This window comes from Homo sapiens, chromosome 1 (genome assembly GCF_000001405.40).
Source record: "Homo sapiens chromosome 1, GRCh38.p14 Primary Assembly".
NCBI classification, from domain to species: domain Eukaryota; kingdom Metazoa; phylum Chordata; class Mammalia; order Primates; family Hominidae; genus Homo; species Homo sapiens.
Window position 1 is genome coordinate 149,700,508 of NC_000001.11, and position 23,411 is coordinate 149,723,918.

The following is a 23,411-nucleotide window of genomic DNA, read 5'->3' on the forward strand; positions in this document are numbered from 1 at the left end:
CCCGCCGCCTCTGTCCAGTCTGTGCACTTCACCTCCCTGGCTCCCGCTCTCCCCTGAGCTTACAGTGGACGCGGGGTTCTTCCAAACCCCTCTTGGGAATACTGAATGGAAAAGGGGGAGCGTGCGCAAGTGCTTGGTAGAGTGTAGACATTGTGGGATTTGACTGTGGTACCATCGCTTTGACGTCCTAGTGCTGATTTTTACACCTGCATTCTGCTTAGGGCACTGGCAACAGTTTTCCGTTTGTGCCTACTCCACCTGCTGTCTTTGTTGGGTCAGCGAACATCGCCTCCCTCTACCGCTCAATCAGCAAAAGGGACCGCCCTTGAGGACCTCACCCGCCGCTCACTCCCCTCCCAACTTCGCGGGCATCGCCTCCGGTCGCCTCTTCCGAAGGCCTAACGAGCATGTTAGCTGCGAACGGAGGTGAGGAGGCTCCGCTGACTGACCGGTGCCCACGTCCAGGGCACGCACAAACGCCATGACTTGGCTTGGCCTCTCTCTTAGTTATTCACAGCTCAGCCCGATAGGCACCTCTGGGGCGGCGACGGCAAAGAGGGTGCGCTTATTAAGTGCAGCTCCACGGGGACTGGCCTCTCTGCACGGCTGTGTACACCTGAGCGAGACGCTCAGTCGCTCTCTAAAGCCGCTTCTGCGGATGACAGACACGGAGATAAACGTGAGAGGTGGCCCACCACGACTTGCCCTCCTTTGCCCGGGTTTGCCCCTCGCTGCGGAGGCTGTTCTACATCTGGCCCTTGGAGCAGGCCGGCTGACAGCGTGGTAAAGGAAGATTTCTGCGGGAGGGCGGCCAGTGCAAAACAATTCCCTGACCGGGAATCGAACCCGGGCCGTGGCGCTTTCAGCACCGAATCCTAGCCACTAGACAACCATGCAGATGCGGAAAGCTGCTTTCTCTCCCTTCTTCGACCTGAAGCGACACTTTCCTGTGCTCTAGGAGGACTTGGGTCTTGTGAGAGTCGCCCTTTGCTCCTGGAGTCGTCTCACAAGGCCGTTCACTCCCTGCTTTCTTCAAAAAAAGAACCTGCAGGCGACACACCAAGGACTCCACGAGGGAGTCCTGAGTACTGGAGCGAGTTGCGGCCACGCGGCCGCAGCTCACCACTGGCCTAGAGATGCCCTTTGCGAGGCGGCAGCAACTGACAAGATGGTCGCGGGTCGCCGGGTCCGGAGCCGCCCACCAGGTTGCCAGGAGGAGGCGGGAGCGGGGAGGCGCCCGAGGTGAGACAGGGGCACCCTCTGCATCATAAAGGACCCAGACCCCGGCACCCTCAACATCATAAGGAATCAGACGGATGCGGAAACCGAGACGGGCTGGATAGGAAACTCTTTCCAGGAAGGCTCCGGGGCACTCAACTGGTCTCCAACCTTCCCCTGCAACCTGTGACGCCTGCCATTTTCCCATTTTAGGCGATGGCAACGCAACCCCTCCGTTTGCTCTGGGCAAAACTTCGAGAGTTCCCTCTGAAGCTGGAGCTTTTTCCTCAGATCCAAGATCCAATTGGTCACCAATTCGTGATTTCCGTCGGCCAAGTGCGTGGGCATTGATCTACACGCGAGTTTCTCCACCTCTGCCGAATGGCTACTTCGGGGTGGGGGAGGGGCCCTCCCGCCGTGGATTGCAAGGTGTTTAGCAGCATCTGTCTCCTCCGCTGACTAGACACATGCCAGGGGGATAACATTCTCCCTCCCGCTTCCCCCAGCCGCGGCCTAGTGTCCCAGCGGGGTTGGGAGAGGCATGTGAGGGCGAAGTTGCCCCCTGTTGAGAACCATTGCTGCGCGTAGTCCTTCTCTCTGAACTTGTGCAGAGGACTCTCCAGGTGAAGGCTCAAGGGTGGATCCAGCTCGAGACACCCTCGCTCCCCCTCACAGTCGGACCTTAGGATTTAGGCTTTAACATCTCCACATCATGAGATTCGAAACCTTTAGGTCTTGTCTTCCGTTCTGTCCTCCAAATCGGCCTCTTCCGAGCCTGTTGACCAGGGCCAGCCGGGCAGAGGGCTGGGCTCGCTCAACGAGGCTCCTCTCGCACCTCCTGGAGCTTCAGGCTTCTTTCCGTTGCAGAGAAGCTTTATGGGCCAATTCGTTCGGCATCCCCGGGGGCAGGTGCGCGGTGCGCGGGGAAGAAGAGGATTTGACTGCGGTTCTCCACCCCCGGCGCCCAACCTCCACCCCGGTGCGCGCGCTCTTCCAGGCTCCTGCTGGTCCCACTTGCCAGGAGTTAGGTCTCAGGTCAGCCTGAGCTCCTGAGACGCCCAGGCCCGGAAAGACACGTAGGGGAAACCATCTGCTCACTTCTGTCCTGTCCGGAAGGGATCCCTTTCTGACGGGAAAGAAAGGCGGTGAGTCCTGTCCTGTTGAGTAGGCGGAAGAGAGATCAAAGGGAAGACAAGAAAAATCCTGTGAGTTTTCAGGATCTAAAGTTACCATGAGGTCGACCTAACCTCCTCTGGAGGTCCTCCCGGTCCTCCCGTGGCTGTCGAAGGTGAATCTAGCTTCCGTCTCCAGTTCGCCAAGGCGGACAAAGCCGACGACAATGGGCCTGTCCACTATCTTCTTTCATATGCACAAAATGTCAGCTCTTCTTGTTTCTAACTTGCAACATCCCACCTGATGACCAGCTCAGCAAATTAGAGACCCTCCATGGGATTCCATCTCTGTCTTAGTTCGGGCTTCCATAACTATATACCATAAACTGGGTGGCTAATTCACGACAGAAATTTATTTCTCACAGTTCTGGAGGTTGGAAGTCCGAGATCAAGGTGCCAACATGGTAGGGTTATGATGAGAGACTTTTTTCTGGTTGTAGACTGCCACCTTCTCATTGTATCCTCAGGGGGCAGAGAGAGCTCCCTGGGGTCCCTTTTATAGTGGCATTAGTCCCACTCAGACTAACGGGACTAAATCCAGACCCAGTTATTGCAATGTGTGCAAAAGAACAAGGACTTGTACTATCTGACTTCAAGGCTTACTATAAGCTATTACAGACAAGGCATCAGGAGGGACAAATAGATAAACAGACTGAGTTAAGAGACCTGAAACTGATCCACAGCCATACAGTCAATAAATGAGCTTTCAATGAAAGCAGTTCAATAGAAGAAAATAAATCATTTCAATTAATGGACTTTCATATGGAGGTGGGGGAGACCAACAATGTTATTCTCCCTCACACTACATACAAAAGTAATTTGAGGTGCATTATACACCAAAACTTAAAAGTTAAAGATATAAAGCATTTCAAGGATACTCTGTAGGTAAAGATTAGCCTACCAACAAGTAGGACACTGAAAAAATATATATAAAAGACATGATAAATTAGACTTCATCAACATTAGCCATACCTTCTCATCAAAAGATACCACTAAGAAAGTGAAAAGGCAAGCAAGCCACAGACAGAGAGAAAATAGTCACAAAACGTATCTGACCTCCACATCCTGTAATTAGAATTATTGTGGTCTGGTACACTGCACCCAGTTTCTGCAGGAGTACTTTCTGGGTGTCTCTAATGAGTAAGAGAGGGCCCCATGGGATATTCCTACAGTTCCCAGATGAACAGTGGGAAAGACTCTACGTTGACAAACCCCGGGGACCTGAAAACTCAGGTCCTCAAGGAGGGTAGAGGATACCTGGACCCTGACCCAGACCCCTAGATGGGCTGTGCCAAGAGACCCAGCAAGGGAAGGGATTCCCTCCTGCCTCAGGTTCTCTGTTCTTCTGTGGTTAGAAGACCTGAACCCAACTCCCTCCCCAAGCACTGGAGATAGGGCTTTTCCAAGGGCTGGGGATCTTGCTGTCCTAAGGACAGCTGAGCAAGGGGGTCGAGGAGGAGCTTGGGTGGTGGAGGAGAGGAAACCGGGTAAGATGTGTGAAGCAGTCGGCTATACCAGGCACAGAGAGGACCCACTGGGACACAAGAGCCTGCATGTGAAGCCAGGCCTTGGGCCACCTTGTTCCTCAAAGGGGTGCTTACTTCCATGGGATCTTCAAAGGGACTGTGGAAAGAGAAGCCTTCAGCCCACACCTCTGAATGCTTTTCCACCACAGCATGCCCTGTGGCCTGTATCCTGCTGGTGTGGAACAGTCAGACCCCTGCAGGGCTGCAGAGCCTCTGTACTGGGCGGCATCCCAGCCTGAGTGCCAGAGCTCAGTGGGCAGGCCCCCGAGCAAGCAGAGAGGAGGGCACCTTTTGGACAGAACCTGTGGGACAAGAGCGACGTCTCATCCGTTCAGGTTCCTCACAAAATGAGAGTCAGGAAGATCAGGGTGCAGACCTGATTTCCCACGAAGGGCTGAAAGCAGACAACCGGAGGGAGAGCAGCACCTGGGCCAATGAGGTAGAAGACAGAAGACCACAGTGTACTTCTGCCCTCAACCTCACCCCCTCCCACCTACATCCTCCACACCCCCTGACCACCTTCTTCAGAAACGTAATAGGAATCAAGATCCCCCCTGGCCTGGTTGCTATGGGAGGCACAGTGGCCTGATGGAGCCTGAGGCAGGTGTGGGAAGATGTGGATTGTCTAACTGGAGGTTGGGAGTCCAGGGTGCAGAAGGAGAAGCTTGGAGTGCAGGATTTGGTGGTATGTGTGTGGCAGTAGGCACTATGTTCTAATTGCCAGTTTTTTTTTCTTCTTCCTTTTTTTCTCTAGCTAAACAAGCACTGGCCTTGAGATAAGCAATGCTGAAGCACTTGCAGCTCACCTATTACCATAAACTGACTGAGCCCTCCCTACACAAGCCGTAACTACTGCTTTGATTGGACAAGAGACTGATTTCAGTAGTTTTCTCTTGATAAGAGACCACTGGCCGTGGGCGGGTTCTGGACAGTTTACAGAAGCTATGCACTTGATTGCCTTTGTGTCCCTGCTTCACCTTTTGAAGCATAGGGCCTAATTATAATGTATTTAAATGTTGTCTCCACCCCAAAGTGAACATGGGTTGCATGTAACAGGCATGTTTACTCAGCATGCATGCAGCAGGATCCCTTCACAAATATTCAGAGCTCCCCCTATTCCCTGTTGAATATGTATATGTGGCCAGCCAGATCAACGTAAATCACTATTCGCCCTCCCCTCCCTGGAAACCTACTTTTCGGGTTTCAGCAGGAAGCTATGCCTCCCAGTCTGTCAGAATGGCCACTTGCAGGCTGTAACCCTTTATAAAAAAATAAAATCTCCTTTCTAAATTTATAAATTGTGTGATTTTTCAGTTGACAGCTTTCAGTTGTCAGTCAAGTCATTGACTGGGAAAAGTCATTTGCAATATATTTATTTGAAAAATGACTCAACTCCTGAATATATAAGAGAACTTTCATAAATCAGTAATATAGAGCTAAGCCAAATAAAATCGGGCAAAATATTCGAATAGGCCTTTGCAAAGGAGAATTTCTTATATGCTGGAAGCCATAAGAAAATATGCTTCATAGTATTGCTCATTAGGCAAGTACAAATTAATTCCACACTGAGATACCACTAACCAATCACCAGTGTGTGGCTACTTTTTTTTTTTTCTCTGAGACAGGGTCTCTCTCACCCAAGCTGGAGTGCAATGGTGCGATTGGTGCAATCTTGAGTCACTGCAACCTCCCCCTCCTGAGTAGCTGGGACTACAGGTGCATGCCACCATGCCTGGCTAATTTTTATATTTTCAGTAGAGACGGGGTTTTGCCATGTTGGCCAGTTTGGTCTGAGAGCATAGCTACATTTTAAAAAGTTAGTACACCAAATGCTGACAAGAATTTGGTGCCACTTCAACTGTCATTGCTGGTGAAAAAACATTCTAGAAGACTGGCAATTTATACTAATGTTAAACTTGTACTCAGGTCGTGACCCAGCAATTGAAGTACTTCCATGAATCTCAAGTGCACAAAAAGACCTGTAGAAGAATATTCATCACAAGAATTCAATAACACCAAAATTGAGAAGTGATCTATGAAACTACGTGGATATATCTCATGAGTATAATGAACATACCTGCAGAAAAAAGGCCAGATACAAAAGATATGTCCATTCACTCATGTGAACTTTAAGAACAGGCAATTGTAACCTATGGGAATAGACATCAGAATAGTGATTAACTAAGAGGACACAGGGTGGGAATTGCCTGGAAAGGGGCTCTAACAGGCCTTTCTCAGATGATGGCAATTTTCTATAACTTGAGCTGGGTGGTGATTACATTCATCAAAAATAAACGAACTGCACTAAAGATTTGTGCACTTTATGTGAACTGTAGTTTATTTACTGTTCTCATTGCTTGAACCCGGGAAACGGGACGTTGCAGTGAGCCGAGATTGAGCCATGGCACTCCAGCCTGGGTGACAGAACAAGACTACATCTCAAAAATAATAGTAATAGTAATAATTTACTGTTCTCATAAAAATTAGCGGATGGGGAATGGAGGCAAGCCGGTGTAGACCATGACAACTAGTTTAGATTTTATTGTAAACTCATTAAAAGCTCGTTCTCGTTTTGTGTTTTTAAAAAATCCCACTGATACAGCCGTTTTCTCTACCAGATGAGACTATAACCGTATTATTTCATCAGTGGAAGCTACAGACAAAGGGCCCTTGAGAGGCGGCATCTTCACCTATGGGAATTTTTTCTGCTCCATTGTGAGACAAAGAGCATGTCCGAGTTTTCATTTTGGCCAGGCCGCCCCCTAGTTTACGCACTGTGGGCTAAACTCCAGAAGCTGGCGCCCTTCCGGGCCAGCGGTTTACTCCGCTCTCTGGAGGCTGCTAGGATTAAAGGCAAAGCAAACGACAGGTCTTTTAGCTACAATCGCAGGAGAGAAAACACTACTGTGACTCAGATTAGAACCCAGGTTGCGGCAACCACAGCTGCAAGTATTGACCACTACACGACCAAAAAGCCTGCTGACAACCATTGTACTTCTTATATTTTTTTATGTAAAAACACTCATACTATTTTCTCTGCTTTATTCTCGAACGTCTGCAGATTTTCGTGCTTTTCTCTCTTTCATGCGCTTCTCCGTTACTCTCTCCCCATTCCGCTACATAATTTAAAAAACATCTCATCTCTCAGGACCTGGCCACTGCCTCTACAACAAGCCTCCTGGGAAGTCTCGTTGTCCCATCGACATCGACACCTCTCCCTTCTTTCGCTCCATTTTTTTTTTTTTTTTTTTTTTTTTTTTTTTTTTTGACGGAGTTGCTCTGTCGCCCAGGCTGGAGTGCAGTAGCGCGATCTTGGCTCACTGCAACCTCCGCCTCCCGGGTTCAAGCGATTCTCCTGCCTCAGCCTCTCAAGTAGCTGGAATAGCAGGTGCACGCCACCACATTCGGCTGATTTTTGTATTTTTAGTAGAGACGGGATTTCACCATGTTAGCCAGGCTGGTCTTGAACTCTTGACCTCAAGCGATCCATCCGCCTCGGCCTCACAAAGTGCTGGGATTACAGGCGTGAGCCACCGTGCCCGGCCAAATTTCAGGCCAACACCTGTTGACACACATTGCCAGACACACGGAATCCCTCACTGAACACCGATGGGCCCACAAAACACGCGGAGGCCACGGTGGCTGAAGATGTTAGCAAATTCGGTTCGCGGTGTCTGGGGTACAGCCTCGAGGGTCCATTGGCTACCTCTGTGCAAGGACCACTCTGCGCAAGGACCAGTCACCGCTGCTCTCCTCATCTCCATTGAGATTCTCCCGCACACACCTCCCCTTTCTTTGGGCCGCTGAGGCCTCTTGGACCTCCGAGGTGATTGCCCCGCCCGCAGCTTCTCTCCTTCCGGGAGCTTCATTTCTTGTTCCTCTCCGTAGTGGCTCAGCGGTAAGCCCAAGGTCCAGCACACGAATCAGGAAACTGATGGTTCTTGGGTTTGCAGGAATCCGCCCAGAGAACAGATGAAAGTAACAGGTACCAATATCAAAACTGCAGTGACTCACCAGAAACACTACGTGCTTGCCACTTTGCTTAGCGGTTTGTTGAGTCCAACAACTGCGTGGGTCCCGGGTTAGTCTCCTGAATTTCTTTTGCTGCTACTTTGGTCAGCGTTGTTGTCAGTTTAGCTTGTGGTGGCCAAGCCCTTAAATGCACTATTAGGTTATGCAGTGTAATTCTGCAGGGCAGAAGGGTAAAGAGCCATAGTGAAGAGCAAAAAAACCCCTTGCTTTGACCGGGAATTGAACCCGGGTCTCCCGCGTGTGAGGCGAGAACCCTACCACTGAACCACCACTGCCTCTCTCTGGCAACCCTGGGAGAATTATTGAAAAGAGTATCCAGAAAGACTTAGAAACTTCCAAGCGGCCTTTTCAAGTGTCGACTCAAAACAAAGCTAACAAAGACATCCAAACCAAATGTTTTTATAGGAAACTTTTACTAAACAAAGTTATAAATATCAAAATAGCTCATTTGTCGGATCAAACTCTTAACTCTGAAAAAGGTCTTTCTACCTGCATTACATACCCCTATAATAAAACGTCACAAATTCATTCATGTTTCTTTTTTCTAATCCTAAATCTTCAATTGTCAACGTCAAACTGCTGCCTTAGTGGTTCTGAGAAGGTAACCTAACTGGTAGCTTAGGTAAGTAAAGTTCTAATCCAGGGAGGAAATAAGAAGCAGAAGCAGAATTAGAATTAGAGGAAAGAGGAAATAAAAGGACAGAATCAAGGTAGAGATAATGAAGAAACAAAGGTTGGTCCACTGAGTTAGTCTTTTGTCGCTGGTTTTTTTGGCAAAAGAGTAATGATCGGTCTTGTAACCATAATACTGTTATTTGTCTGCTTGAAGATGTATAAAGCATTTAAAGGAAATGTGATATAAAAAGATTAATAATGCCTGCAGTCAATATTTCATTGTTAGAGAGAATCCAATTTCCTAAGTTAATATGCTTTGATGTATTAGCTATGTAAGGAGTAGACTAGTTTAAGGAAATATTGATGGTCAAAATATTAACATATTAGTCTTTTGATGAAGTTCAAATAGAGAGATTTCTTTTCTCAATTTTCCCTGGAGAGATTAAACTGAAGAGAAAAATTCAGAGAGTTTGCCCCACATGTTGGGTCTGTGAGTCATTATGACTTTTTCAAAGACAGGAGCTGTGACATGGAATCATGCTTCTTCTCTAGCTGAGAAGCCAAGCTAGGTCCAGGCTGGGTCATAAACTTGAGCCCAACAAGGAAATCACCCTTCACATTGACCTCACAGAGCTTTGACTGTTCTCTGTTCTTTGCCCAACACCCAAGACACACACCAGCTCTGGCCAACAAACCTTAACATATTATCTATATCAACCAGAGCTACATTTATTCCCAAATCTCCTTCTAAAATACAAACCTGTACTTTCTACTCTCAGCTTCTAAATTTACAAAGGCCTCATATGCATCTCAGAGTCACAGATGCTAAAACTCAACACACCGGTGAGTTCCCTGTCAGCAATATGTACCACCCTCTACCTCAAAACCCAATGATCAGACTCAAGCACAGCATCTCCCAAAGAGTAGTGCACTGCCCTGGGTGTTTCAATGATCACTAAAACCTGTTTCTAGCCCTGCCTAGCACACTTATCCTCACCACCATCTATCCTATTTGCCGAGCCAGATCTTTCTTTGGATAAACTCTCTCATTTTCATAACACAACAATTTCAGTTCAATTCAAAAAAAATAGCGTTTAAGTTTATTGGATACTCCACAAGCTTACTGCCACTTTATTACCACACTTTTCCATCTATCGGCTCTTGCATCCATTAACATAAGCAGACAAAAAACTGGACTCCTGGCCAGGTGCGGTGGCTCAAGCCTGTAACCCCAGCACTTTGGAAGGCCAAGGCAGGCGGATCACGAAGTCAGAAGATTGAGACCATCCTGACTAACATGGTGAAACCCCATCTCTACTAAAACTACAAAAAAAAAAAAATTAGCCAGGCGTGGTGGCACCCATCTGTAGTCCCAGCTACTCGAGAGGCTGAAGCAGGAGAATCGCTTGAACCCAGGAGGCAGAGGTTGCAATGAGCCAAGACCACACAACTGCACTCCAGCCTGGGTGAAAAAGCAAGACTCCACCTCAAAAAAAAAAACAACAACAACAACAACAACAACAAAAAACTGGACTCCCTACAGCCAGTGTAGTATGCACCACTCACTTGCCACACTGTATGCTGAGTGACCCTTCCACAGCTTAAATCTGCACATAACTTCAGCCTAGAACCATATAATGTCCCTTTATTTCTTCAGTACAATGATTAATACCATATTCTCTGTACCCTTCTTCCCTCTATGCTCATCATTCTAACAGCTCTTGCCAATACTCAAATCCAGGAGCAGCAAACTACTTCACATGTCACAAACTTTTCACAGGTTCACACCAGTGGATTCCCCAGTGAACCAGCTGTCTTAACTCAGGCTTCCATAACAAAATACCACAGACTGGGTGGCTTAAACACGAGGAATTTCTTTCTCACAGTTTGAGAGGCTGAGAAGTCCAAGATCAAACTGCCAGCGGATTCACCTCCTTGGTGAGGGCTCTCTCCCTGGCTTGCAGACTGCTACATTCTCCTTCTGTCCTCGCATGGTGGAGAGAAAGAGAGCACTTTCGTCTTTCTTCTGTTTCTTATAATGACACTGATCTCATCATGGAGATCCCATGGTCATGACCTCATCTAAACCTGATTACCTCCCAAAGGCCCTACCTCCAAAATACCTTCACATTGGGGGTTAAGGCTTCAATATATAATATGAAGGGAACACAAACATCCATTCCATTACACTAGCACCTGCATTTGCAATCCAGCCTCTGGGCCAGGCTTAGCAGTGTAGAGCCCAAGGCTTCAATTGACAGGATTTTTATGCTCTCATGCTCTGGCTCCTTGGCTCCAGAAGCTTCTAGAACCAGTAGGGTGATACATCCTTTAGCAACTATATTGTAAAACACATGGTGGGTAAAAGAGTGCCCTATTAAGTATTTTGGTTATGCCCCCATTAGTGTGCTTGGCTCAATATATTAATAGTAAGTAGTGGTTCGCATCCACCCTCAGTACCACCCTCTGCAGTCATCCTGTCAGTTTCCATTCCATTCTCCTATCCCTGGCTTGCTGGTTCAATACTCTTAAGTGATTTACTGCTGGTGCTCTTCTTTTTCCCTCAGAGATACCTTGTGATTTCTTTGATTCTCTCCATCTCTACAGGTTAATAAGTCTAATATTTAAAAACTCTGTAGAGGGATGTTGGGAAGCTGTGGGGAGAGCCCTTGGGCTTTTCGCCTGGGTAAAGTGCAGATTCCTGAGAATTCTGGGCCTTGGCTTCCAGCTGCACTAGTGCCGGCCACTCAGCTGTTCTCAGCAGCGTCACCTGGCGCAATGGTGCTGAAGCGCACTGCCGAGAGGCCAGAAGGCAAAGCGAGAGTCGGTGGCTATGGCCTGGAACCCATTTAGGCAAAACAGAGGGCGCGCGGGGACAAAGCAATAGAGAAGGGTGGGCAATACAGGATCTGTACACCATACATTAGCAATTGTATTTATTAAATTGTTGATTACCTAAGCCTCCGGAGAGTAGTTTGGACGCTTACCGGTTTTCTGAGGATTATTTGGGGAAGGGGTATGCATGCAAATGTGTGTACATAATTCGTGTGATTTCGGAATATTGACTCCATGAGTTCCAGATGCAGATTTGGAACGTTTTTAAAAAACATTTTGTTTTTGTTGTCTCGCAAATCAGCCAGATCTGCAACTGTATCAGAGTAAAGCGAAGCCAAGCTGGACCCTTAGGAAATGCGCTAACATGTCATCCACTTTCGGTGTCTGCCTGTGAAAATTCAGGCGATAAAGAGAATGAAGAGAACCTTAAGGAATTGCTGGAACCAAAGTTAATATTAAGCAGGCCTGCTGTGACGTCCTCTTCCTGGCAGACCAGTGGAAATTGTAGCCTGGTCGACAATCTGTATAGATTGATGAGGTCTAAAATGTAGTCACAGGTTCAACTACTTTTCTGTTTTCCAACCTCGAGTAAACTCACTAAATTTAAGGGCTAACAAAAACAAAAACAAAAAAAAAAAAAAACCTATGTTTCCGCCCGGTTTCGAACCGGGGACCTTTCGCGTGTGAGGCGAACGTGATAACCACTACACTACGGAAACCACAAGCAGTACCTGCACGGCAAAATATAACCATGAAAATCTTAGATCGGCCGTTTCTATTATAGTTTCCAAATCCGAGATCGCACCACTGCACTCCAGCCTAGACGACAGAGCGAGAGTCTCAAAAAAAAGTTGGGAGAAGAAGGTGCCATTTTCCCTAGTTGCTTTTCTTACTGTGGTGGTGACCGCATTGCCTTCACACCTGAAGTCCAAGTGCTTCCACCCTGGGGAATATGCAGACAGCTGGGTCACTGGACGCCAGGCCGCAGAGCCGGCCTCGTTCTGCTTTTGGCTCTAAATGCAGTCGGGGGACGCGACTGGACCTCACCAGAGACTGGTGGGCTGTTACCCTTACCAGCGACTGGAGGGCCAAGCTCCCAAAGAGGCCTACTTCATGATCGCCTTAAATCAGGAAATTTCATGAAATCCCACCCCTCTACCGCCCCATTCCCATATTGTATCTCCTCCCCTGCCCACTCTGAGAGGATTCGCCCCCTTTCTGTCTCGTCTGGACCCTTTGGAGTCCCACATAGACAAGACAAAAGGGGCATTGCCTTTTCCTACAGGAGCGGGAAGAGCCGTCACAGCGGAGGAAACAGAGACTCACAGCGCGCATCCCCACATACTGCGCCCTGCCGAGTTCCAGCAAACCCAACAAAGCACTCTGAAGCTTCTCTGGAAAAGGAAGAAGTGTGAGGTTTCTGATACGGCAAGAGGAGCCAAAGAGAGGGGACCCAGGCCTTCCCCTAGCTCGAGAGAACAAACCCAGAAGAAGGGCAGATCCAAAGGAAAAGCGCAAAGGCGGCCCAACCCCACGACCTGAGCGAGCCAAGGGTCGCGGGTTAAATTGCGTTTATCAGAACAGTTGTTTGCTCACTGTCCCAAAGCCCTCCTAGGGACGAAGAAAACACTGGCATGGCACCAATCGCAGAAGGGGGCAGCATTGACACCCAGGAACAGGAGTGGAAAAGCAGGAAAAGCAGGGATCATCTCTCTCCTACCCCGTATATGGCTGCAGACATAGCAGTGGTTCTTTTCTCCAGGACCCAGTGAGTGTGCACCAGGAGAGAACATTATGCACGTTATTCATGGTGGCACCACCCAGGCTGAAAGTGAGCCTGTGCTGCTTGGGCTTTCAGGAAGGACGGGCCCAACTCTCCCTCCCTATACAGAGCTGCAGTGCCCTGGCAATGGAGGACAGACCATGGAGTTGCCTGCCCTGGACTCGGGGAAGAGGCTCTGCCCTAAACCCCATTTTAGTGGTAGCTGTCAGAGTGGCATATCCACAGACTTCAGCTGCACCACAGCCAGGAACCAAAGGACAAAGTCTTTATAAAATGAAGGTTGTGAGCTCTGTGACAGGGCATGATAGGGAAGCGGATCACATTCTTGCCTACTCAGGAGGAGGAGCTAGTGCACCTCTGCCCCTTCCCCTGAGACCTCAGCACACCCCGACATGATCTCTTTCCCACCATCCTGTCAGGGCAGGTTTTTCCACTGGACACCAGCCTACGTAACAGCCCTGACTCTTAAGCACCATCTACTGGACTGCATCCTAAACTGGACCACTGAATTCAAAAACCCTGCTACCAAAGGGCTTAGTGCTAGTCCATGAGATAAGTTTCCTGAGAATTCCGTACCCTCAGCCCCCAACAAGGGTTACTGTGTTAGCTTTTACTTCCAATACATCACCACAACAAGCAGCATCTGAGAAAGCTACTGCTCAGAAGCTATCCACAACCAAGAAACCCATACAAAGCTAGGGCTCCCTGAAAGCACCCAGAAATGAAGCCAAACAATCATACACAACATACACCACAGTCATACCATCAAGGGAAAAAAAGAATAAAAAAATTAAAAATCCTCATCCAAACAATACCAAATTCAAAACTAAGAAGCAACAGCTTCCTCGGATGAGAAAGAATCAGTGCAATAACTCCAGTGTACCCAGAGTATTTACACACTTCCAAAGGATCACACTAGTTTCTAGCAATGGATCCTAGCCAGACTGAAATGTCGGAAATGACAGATAAGAATTCCAAATACGGATTGCAAGGGAACTCAATGAGATCCAAGAAAAAGTTGAAGTCCAATGCAAAGAAATCAGAAAAACAATACAGAATATGAAAGACAAGAAAACTATATTAAGAAAAATACAAATAGAACTTCTATAATTGAAAAATTCACTAAAGGAATTTCAAAATACATTGAAAGCTTTAATAATAGACTAGACAAGCAGAAGAATGAATTTCAGAGCTTGAAGGTTGGTCTTTCAAATTCACCTAGTCAGACAAAAGTAAAGAAAAATGAATTTTTAAAAATGAACAAAGCTTTTGAGAATTATGGGGTTATGTAAAGCGATCAAACCTATGACTTATTGGCATTCCTGAGAGAGAAGAAGAAAAGTAAGCAACCTGGAAAACATATTTGAAGGAATAATTCAGGAAAGAATTTTCCTAACCTTTCAAGAGAGATTGATATTCAGATACAAGAAATTCGGACAACTTCTGCAAGATACTATACAAGATAACCATTGAAAAGCATACAGTCATCAGACTTCCCAAGATAAATGTGAAAGAAAAAATCTTAAAGGCAGCTGAAGAAAAGGGCCAGATTATCTATAAAGGAAATCCCATCAGACTAACAGCAAACTTTTCAACGGAAATCTTACAAGTCAGAAGAAACTGGGGCCTATTTTTAGCCACCTAAAAGAAAAAAAAAACTGCCTGTCAAAGTTTCATACTCTGCCAATTTAAGCTTCATAAATGAAGGAGAAATAGTTTTTCCCAGACAGAGAAATGCTAAGGGAATTCATTAACACCAGATAGTCTCTATAATAAATGTTCAAAGGAGTTCTAAATATGGATGGTACTTGCTACCATAAAAGCACATGTAATTACAAAGCTCGTACACCTTATAAAGCAATATATAATTGGGTCTACAAAGCAACTAGCTTAACACTATGACAGAAATAACACCTCACACATGAATATTAACCTTGAATGTAAATGGCCTGAAAGTTCCACTTAACGGGCATAGAGTAGTCCAGGTGTGGTGGCTCACACTTGTAATCCCTGCGGTTTGGGAGGCCAAGGTGGGTGGATCACTTGAGGTCAGGAGTTCGAAACCAGCCTGGCCAACATGGTGAAACTTCATCTCCACTAAAATACAAAAATTAGCTGGGCGTGGTGATGGGCGCCTGTAATGCCAGCTACTCGGGAAGCTGAGGCAGGAGAATCACTTGAACCCAGGAAGCAGAGGCTGCAGTGAGCCAAGATCGCACCACTGAACTCAGCCTGGGACTTCATCAAAAAAAAAAAAAAAGGCATAGGGTGGCAAATTGGGAAAAAAAAAAAAATCAAACTTTCCATGGCCTTTAAGAGAGACCTATCTTACATGTTATAGCCCCCAGAGGCTCAAAGTAAAGTGATAGAGATCTGTTATGCAAATGGAAAACAAGAAAGGTCAGGAGTTGCTATTCTTGTATCAAGTAAAACAGACTAAACCAACAAGAGTTAAAAAAAGAAAAAAGACAAAGAAGGGCATTACATAATCAGAAAGCATTCAATTCAACAAGAAGATTTAACTATCCTAAATATATATGCACCTAACATTGAAGCACCCAAATTTATAAAACAAATACAACTACACCTAAGCAAAGAAATAGACAGCCATGCTATACTAGTGGAGGACTTCAACATCCCACTGACAGCACTAGACAGATCACTGAGGCAGAAACCTAACAAGGAAACTTTGGACTTAAATTGGACTCTTGACCAAATGAACCTAATAGATGTCTATAGAATACTCTATCCAACAACCACAGAATATACATTGTTCTCATCTGTGCACAGAACATTCTCTAAGATTGACCACATACTCAGTCATAAAGCAAGTCTCAATAAATTTTTTAAAAAATGAAATTATATCAAGCATCTTCTCAGACAACAGTAGAATAAAAGCAGAAATCAATGCCAAGAGGAACTCTCAAAACCACACAAATACATGGAAACTAAACAACAGAATCATTTTTGGGTAAACAATAAAATTAAGGCAGAAATAAAAAAAATTGAAACAAATGAAAGTAGAGACACAATGTGCCAAAAACTCTGGAATATAGAAAAGCAGTGTTAAGAGGAAAGTTTATAGCACTCAATACCTACCTTGAAAAGATAGAAAGATCTCAAATTAACAACATAATACCACACCTAAAGAACTAGGAAAAGAAGAAGAAACAAAACCCAAAGCTAGGAGAAGGAAAGAAATAACTAAGATCAGAGCAGAACTAAATGAAACAGAGATAAAAAAAAAAATACAAAGGATCAATGAAATGAAAAGTTGGTTATTTGGATGATTGATAGACCACTAGCTAGATTAACCAGGAAAAAAAGATCCAAATAAGCACAATCAGAAATTACAAAGGTGACATTACAACTCATATCACAGAAATACAAAAGATCCTCAGAGACTACTATGAGCATCTCTACATGCACAAACTAGAAAAACCTAGAAGAAATAGTTAAATTCCTGGAAGCACACAGCTTCTTAAGATTGAACCAGGAAGAAATTGAAATCCTGAACAGACCAATAATGAGTTATGTAATTGAATCAGTAATAAAAATTCTACTAATCTGAAAGAGCCCTGGACCAGACAGAATTTTACAGCTGAATTCCACCAGACGTGCAAAGAAGAGCTGGTACCAATCTTACTAAAACTATTCCAAAAAATTGGGGATGAGGGATTCCTAACTCATTCTATGAAACCAGTATCATCCTGATACCAAAATCTGGCAGGGACACAATAAAAAAAGAAAACTACAGGCCAATATCCCTGATGAACACAGATGCAAAAATTCTCAACAAAATACTAGCAAACTGAATCCAGCAGCACATCAAAAAGATAATTCATCATGATCATGTGGGCTTTATTCCTAGGATGCAAGGATGGTTCAACAGACGCAAAAAAAAATGCTATTCACTGCATAAACAGAATTAAAAACAAAAACCATACTATTATCCCAATAGATGCAGAAAAAGCATTCAATAAAATGTTACATCCGTTGCATGATACACACCTTCAACAAACCAGGCATCAAAGGAACATAACTCAAAATAATAAGAGCCATCTATGACAAACCCATAGCCAATATCATACTGAATAGGCAAAAGTTGGAAGCATTCCCCCTAATAACTGGAACAAGACAAGGATGTCCACTCTCACCACTCCTATTCAACACAGTACTGGAAATCCTGGCCAGAGTAATCAGTCAGGAGAAATAAAAGCAATCCAAATAGGAAAAAGGGAAGTCAAATTATCTCTGTTCACCAAAGACATGATCCTCCATCTAGAAACCTCTAAAGATTCCTCCAAAATACTCCTAGACTTGAAAAACAAGTTCAGTAAAGTTTCAGGTTACAACATGAGCATACAAAAATCAGTAGCATTTCTATACACTAAAAATGCTCAAGCTGACAGCCAAGTCAAGAACTTAATCCCATTTAAAATAGCCACACACACACACACACACACACACACAAATAAACTAAACACCTAGGAATATATTTAACCAAGGAGGTGAAAGATCTCTACTGGGAGAACTACAAAACACTGATGAAAGAAATAATAGACAACACAAACAAATGGGAAAACATTCCATGCTTGTGGACTGGAAGAATCAATATTGTTAAAATGACCATTCTATCCAAAGCAATCTAAAGATTCAACGCAATTCCTATCAAGTTACCAATGTCATTTTTTACAGAATTTAAAAAAAAATTATAAAATTCTTATGGGGCTGGACATTGTGGCTCACACCTGTAATGCCAGCACTTTGGGAGGCTGAGGCAGGAGGATCACTTGAGGTCAGGAGTTCAAGGGCAGCCTGGCCAATACGGTGAAACCCCATCTCTACCAAAACACACAAAAGTTAGCAGGTGTGGTAGCACATACCTATAGTCCCAGCTAATTCAAGAGGCTGAGGTGGGAGAATCACTTGAACCCAGAGGCAGAGGTTGAAGTGAGCCGAGATCATGCCACTACACTCTAGCCTGGGTGACAGAGTGAGACCCTGTCTCAAAAAAAAAAAAAAAAAAAAAATCCCCATGGAACCAAAAAACGGCCCGAATAGTCAAGCAATCCAAAGCAAAAAGAACAAATCCAGAGGCATCACATTACCTAACTTCAAACTATACTACAAGGCTATAGCAACAAAAACAGCAAGGTACCGACACAAAAATAGACACATGAATCAATGGATAAGAATAGAGAACCCAGAAATAAAGTCACACACCTACAACCAACTGATCTTTAACAAAGTTGACAAAAATAAACAATGAGGAAAATGATACCCTATTTAATAAATGGTGCTGGGAAAACTGGCTAGCCAAATGCAGAAGAATGAAACTGGACCCCTACCTCCCACCATATACAAAAATTAATTCAGATGGTTTACAGACTTAAATATAGGACGTCAAACTATAAAAATGCTAGAAGAAAACCTAGGAAAACCTCTTCTTGACATTGGCCTATGACTAAGACCTCAAAAGCAAATGCAACAAAAACGAAAATTGACAAATGGGACTTAAACTTAAAAAGCTTCTGCACAGCAAAAGAAATAATCAACAGAGTAAACAGACAACCTACAGAATGGGAGAAAATATCTGAAAACTATGCACCTGACAAAGGACTAATATCCAGACTCTATAAGGAACTTAAATCAACAAGACAAAACCAAATAACCCTATTTAAAAAATGGGCAAAGGACATGGCTAGACACTTATCAAAAGAACACATACAAGCGGCCAACAAACATATGAAAAAATGCACATCACTAATCATCAGAGAAATGCAAATTAAAACTACAGTGAGATATCATCTCACAGTAGTCAGAATGGCTATATTCCAGGCTCGAGGCAAGCGTGCTCTTCACGAGTTCTGTCATTCTCTTGAGTGAAGCTCACCTGGTATGGTAAGTTGTCCTCATTTTAAAACATTCAGATTTTATTCTGCAATCCTTTCACATGTGACAGTTTTTCTGTTCTTCCTAAGCATGTAATGGAAGTCAAGGAATTCTACATCCTCACTATCTATTAATATTTCTTACCTTCCCACAGCAGTGAAATTCCCATTCTAGTCTTCTGAAACAGAGATAGCTAATAAAGAAAACTCATTTCTCCTTTAACCTTTTCCACACATTTCAGACCATTCTGGTTTTATTCTTTTCTACACAAATTCTACTCTTTATAGGTGTTCAATAAATAAATATAAACACTAATTTTAAAAATAATTTATTAATTTGATCTCTTCATTTAAAGATAATATCCAATGCCTCCAAGTTCCCACCCAAGAATTCTGTTGGATAGGGCTAGAAAAGTTCTGGAGAACATTCTTCCAGACTCTCTAGGCATCATGTCACAGGATGTCCTCGCCACAGCCAGAAGAGTGACTCTGAGTATATGAATGAGGGGCTACAGTGGACTGTGCAGTACCTAGGGAGGGAGAGACAGGGCTGCAATGAAGTCTGGAGGGATTTAGGAGATTCATTGATTGTACCAAACAAAAACTTACATTTCTTCTCTCCTATTCCGTACCCAGGTGAAAGTGGGAAAGACAGGAAGAGAGACACCAAGCTTTCTAGTTGACAGCTAGTGACTCTCTGATTATCTGCAAAGATTGGGAAAGGAACTTAAACATGACATGTAGATTTTCCAGAGATATTTACTCCTGGAGCCAGGAGTCTGCGAACATGTAGGTGGGATCTTTTAAGAAGCAGCCTTATCTAGATTGGGAATAAGCTATTATAGTTTTAGGCTGTGTGGATCTGGTCAACTTTTGTGCTGCTTACTTCTCTTTGCTTCTACAACTGGGCATTGCTGCAGAAAGGAAGAAATATGGAAGTGACTTCAGCTTTGATTTTTTCCTTCTGGAAGCCTGAAAACTCCAGTTTGCTTCCCTGAGCCCTTTTCCTGTTGCACAACTAGGGTGTGGACTACAGGTCCTACCCATGGAAGATGGAGGTAGATACTTCACAGGGAATAAAAACAACCCAGACAAGTCATACCTTTAGGTAACAGATACTTTCAAAGATGTACTTTCCTGCATCCATTAAAGTTTTAGTCTCAGCTAATCTGAAAACCTGCGGACCTCATGCACTGGGATAGCAGTGCAATATGGCTCAGGCTCAGGTTTTGCTGGGCACACCAGAGTAGGCCACACACTCTCATGTGCAGTGGCTTCAGGTATGGATCAGGGTCTTTCCCACTAATTGGCTTCAGTTATGATGTTGTAGGTCATCATTCTTCTGGCTTTAATACGAGAGAAGAAGGGATGGGGAAGAACTGGTCTCCAAGTGAGAGCATCCAGGGTGAAGAGTGTTGAAATAAGGGTCATTAGCACAAGAGAAGAGCCAGGTGATATCAAAGGCATGTAGTAATGGCATAAAGGTGGAACGTTGCTCTCATTCTGCTGAAGTGGGCACCATGGAAACCTTGGTGCTACCACTCGCCAGTCAGGCCACAAGCCCAAGAACAGCACCAGGCAGTATAAGGACATATAAGAATGACATCACTTCAGATAGTCCTGAGAATTAGACCTATCCCTGCTTGGGGCAAACCACTCAGTGGGAGCAATAGTACCCTTCTGCTTCCCTATCTGGGCTAATTGTAAGGAACAAGTGAAATCATGCACACCAATGTGCTTTAAACCGGTAAAACTCTGCCCCAAGAAGCTATGTGCCCTTTTGAGACTCCTTAGACGTGGACAGAAACATAAAATTTCTGCCTTTCTACCTTTTCCTTGGTCACCATTGCTAAGCACATGCTCCAGCCTCTCCCTCAGGCGGTCATTGAGACTGATGGACTCCTCCAGGCGCTGGCGCAGGTTCTGTATCTCAGCAAGATTCTTTTCCAGCAGGTCAGCCCCTACTGCAAACCACCAAGACATAGGAGAGGTAGGAGGTAGGGAAGCCTGATCATCCCTGGGCAGCTGTGGGGCCTGCCTGGCATCTCTCTGCAAGATCCCTACCTATCTCTATCCTTCTGTCAGCTTCTTCCTCTCTCCTGGGCATTCAGGAAGCACCAGGCAACTTTACTTAAAAGTCCTGGGCTTTCAATCACAGGGTGGCCCCCTGTAAGGAAACACCACAGGCCTCCTCCCAGACAGAGACCACCAAGTACATCTAAGGGAGATGGACACAGGGTGAGAAACTGCTAAAGGCCTCTAGGCAGAACTGGCCTAGTAATGGGAAAGGCTGTCTACCTCCTTGGTATGGAAAACAATCCAGAGAATCTCCCTCTCTACCTCATCCCTCTCCCCGATGATGATCCCGACTCAACAGCCTTTGAGATTTCACTCACTCACAGAGAGAAAGACCAAGGTAAGTGCATATGAAATTAAACCAGGCTGTGAATAATGAGTGATAGTGAATGTTCTCCTTTAACCAGTTTTGGCAAAGAGGAACATGGAAGAGCTTGGGAAGGTATCAGGATCTGAAGAGGGGGAACAGGAGAGAAGGGAACAATCTCCAAGGAAGGAAAAAGATGCACAGAGAGAGGAGGCTGAGAATAGGCTTCACCCACTGGGAGATTTTGCGTAGGGTCAGGTTTTTCTCTGAGAATTTAAAATGTCTTATTGTTACACTACCTGGGACACAGAAATGGAGCTGCTTCAAGCCATTCCTCTAAATAGCTGCACTCCTAGCTGCCGGGTGCCAGGATGTTTGGCTCCAAATCCAAAAGCAATGTTTATGGGGGCAGGATTGGCACGTGGTTGTATGCACAGTGTGTGTGAAAGATGTGTGTGAAAGAGTGGAAAGAGTGTGTAGGGCTGGGTGACTCTGTAGAAATAGTTTCCCATCCGACAGTAGCTCCTGACCTAAGGAAGACCTTCCCCATGGAAATCTGAGCTTAGCATTCCAGGACAGTCTTAATCTAGGCCTAAGAAGGTTGTAGCACAGAGAGAAGGCAACATTTAAGTGTGAGGTAACTTATCCTCCTTGTAGAGCACCTCAGAATGTCCCTGACTTCTCCTACTCTCCTGCCCAGAGTAAGTTCCTAGGTAGGGTGGCTAGGAGAAGGCACTTTCAAAGAACAAGCACTGAGCTGGTTCTCACTGTCTGGCTGATCTACATATTGTCCTGTCATTTTTTATGAACCAGGTTCTAACAGAGGAACCAAAAAATCCTCTGGCCAGGAAAGGAATGTGTCATTCCTACCAATGGGCTCGATTTCACTAAGTGCTCCTTTGTGTTTTACCAGAGGTTTCGGAGTTGGGTTGGTACAAAGAGGAGAAGGAGGCTAGGTCTCCAGATGCATTCATTTTTTGAGGCCTCATCTCTTCCCATGGGCCACTGCTACCGTGTTCTAGTGTCCTGCTCTGCTGGGCCAGTGCCGCTCGAAGGATGGAAGGGCTGGGCAGACCTGGTTCCTTGGTTGCTGGGCAAAGCAGCTGAATCAGCAGAAATGGCAGGGCTGGCATCTGTCCAGAAAGGAATGTGAGTGAGAAACCAACAGGGAAGTCATAAATGAGTGTTTTAAAGGTAATTATAGTGAGTTGAATAGTGTCCTCCAAAAATTCATTCAGTTCACTTGGAACTTCAGAATGTGATCTTATTTGTAAATGGGTTTTTTGTAGATATAATAAGTTAAGATGAGATGATACTGAATTGGGGGTATGTCTTAAATCCAACATGACTGATGTCCTTATGAGAGGAGAGGAGACACAGAGATAAAGAGACATACAGAGAAGGAGACCATGTAACAAGAGAGGCAGAGATTGGGGTGATGTGTCTACAACCCAGAAACCACCAGAAACTAGGAAGAGGCAAGGAAGGATCCTTCCCCGGAGTCTTCAGAGGGAGCATGGCCCTGCTGACTCCCTGATTTTAGACGTCTTCATCTCCAGAACTGTGAGAGAATACATTTCTGTTTTAAGACGCCCGGTTTGTGTTTTTTTGTTTTGGAAGCCCTCGAAAGCTAATAAAGCAATCCACGGAATGAAGACTAAGGCAGATGTCAGCAGACTCATTTCCCAAGGACTCCCCATTTCACCCTAAAGTAACTGGCATTTCTCAGCCTATGACATAAGCAGTAGTGTTAGTTGTAATATCTGAGCATCACAGCGCACATACAGGAAAAATATGGGGCCCCTCTCCTAGCTCCCTTTATGATTCCCAATGCTGGAATGATCCTGGGGAGGTACTTCAGAAATGTTTCTCCTAATAGCAGGACTCACAGCCAATCCTAGGAGTTCAGACAGTGAGGGGTGAAGCATTTTGTTGGTCTGTAAACAGGTGACT

At 45.1% G+C, this 23,411-nt stretch overlaps 1 long non-coding RNA gene, 1 other non-coding gene and 2 pseudogenes across 15 annotated transcripts in view, besides 1 other annotated feature; 1 reads left to right on the top strand and 3 right to left on the bottom strand.

Annotated features, from left to right (window-relative positions):
- Positions 1,330-1,952: an enhancer, noted in NCBI's record as "H3K4me1 hESC enhancer chr1:149287863-149288485 (GRCh37/hg19 assembly coordinates)". NCBI's record gives its function as "activates a minimal SCP1, AML or CMV promoter by ChIP-STARR-seq in naive H9 embryonic stem cells {active_cell/tissue: H9 hESC(naive)}" and the evidence as "EXISTENCE:reporter gene assay evidence [ECO:0000049][PMID:30033119]".
- On the top strand, positions 1,702-5,209 carry LOC644634 (uncharacterized). Its single transcript, NR_145442.2, has 2 exons — positions 1,702-2,506; positions 4,671-5,209. It is a non-coding gene; the product is annotated as an uncharacterized LOC644634 (long non-coding RNA).
- On the bottom strand, positions 8,054-8,328 carry LOC100189498 (transfer RNA-Gly (CCC) 6-1; annotated as a pseudogene).
- On the bottom strand, positions 12,045-12,117 carry TRV-CAC1-7 (tRNA-Val (anticodon CAC) 1-7). Its single transcript has one exon. It is a non-coding gene; the product is annotated as a tRNA-Val (tRNA).
- Positions 12,118-19,169: 7,052 nt separating this feature from the next.
- Positions 19,170-23,411, bottom strand: part of PDE4DIPP7 (PDE4DIP pseudogene 7) — a 29,158-nt pseudogene continuing 24,916 nt past the window's right edge. For 3 of the 13 annotated variants that reach the window (XR_007066584.1, XR_007066590.1, XR_007066583.1), the window contains 3 exons: positions 22,369-22,591; positions 20,905-21,039; positions 19,395-19,780 (listed from right to left, as the gene is read on the bottom strand). The product of XR_007066584.1 is annotated as a PDE4DIP pseudogene 7, transcript variant X5 (transcript). Of the gene's footprint in view, positions 23,212-23,411 lie in introns of those variants that run through there. The other 10 variants (XR_007066588.1, XR_007066589.1, XR_007066587.1 and 7 more) reach the window with 8 other exon arrangements.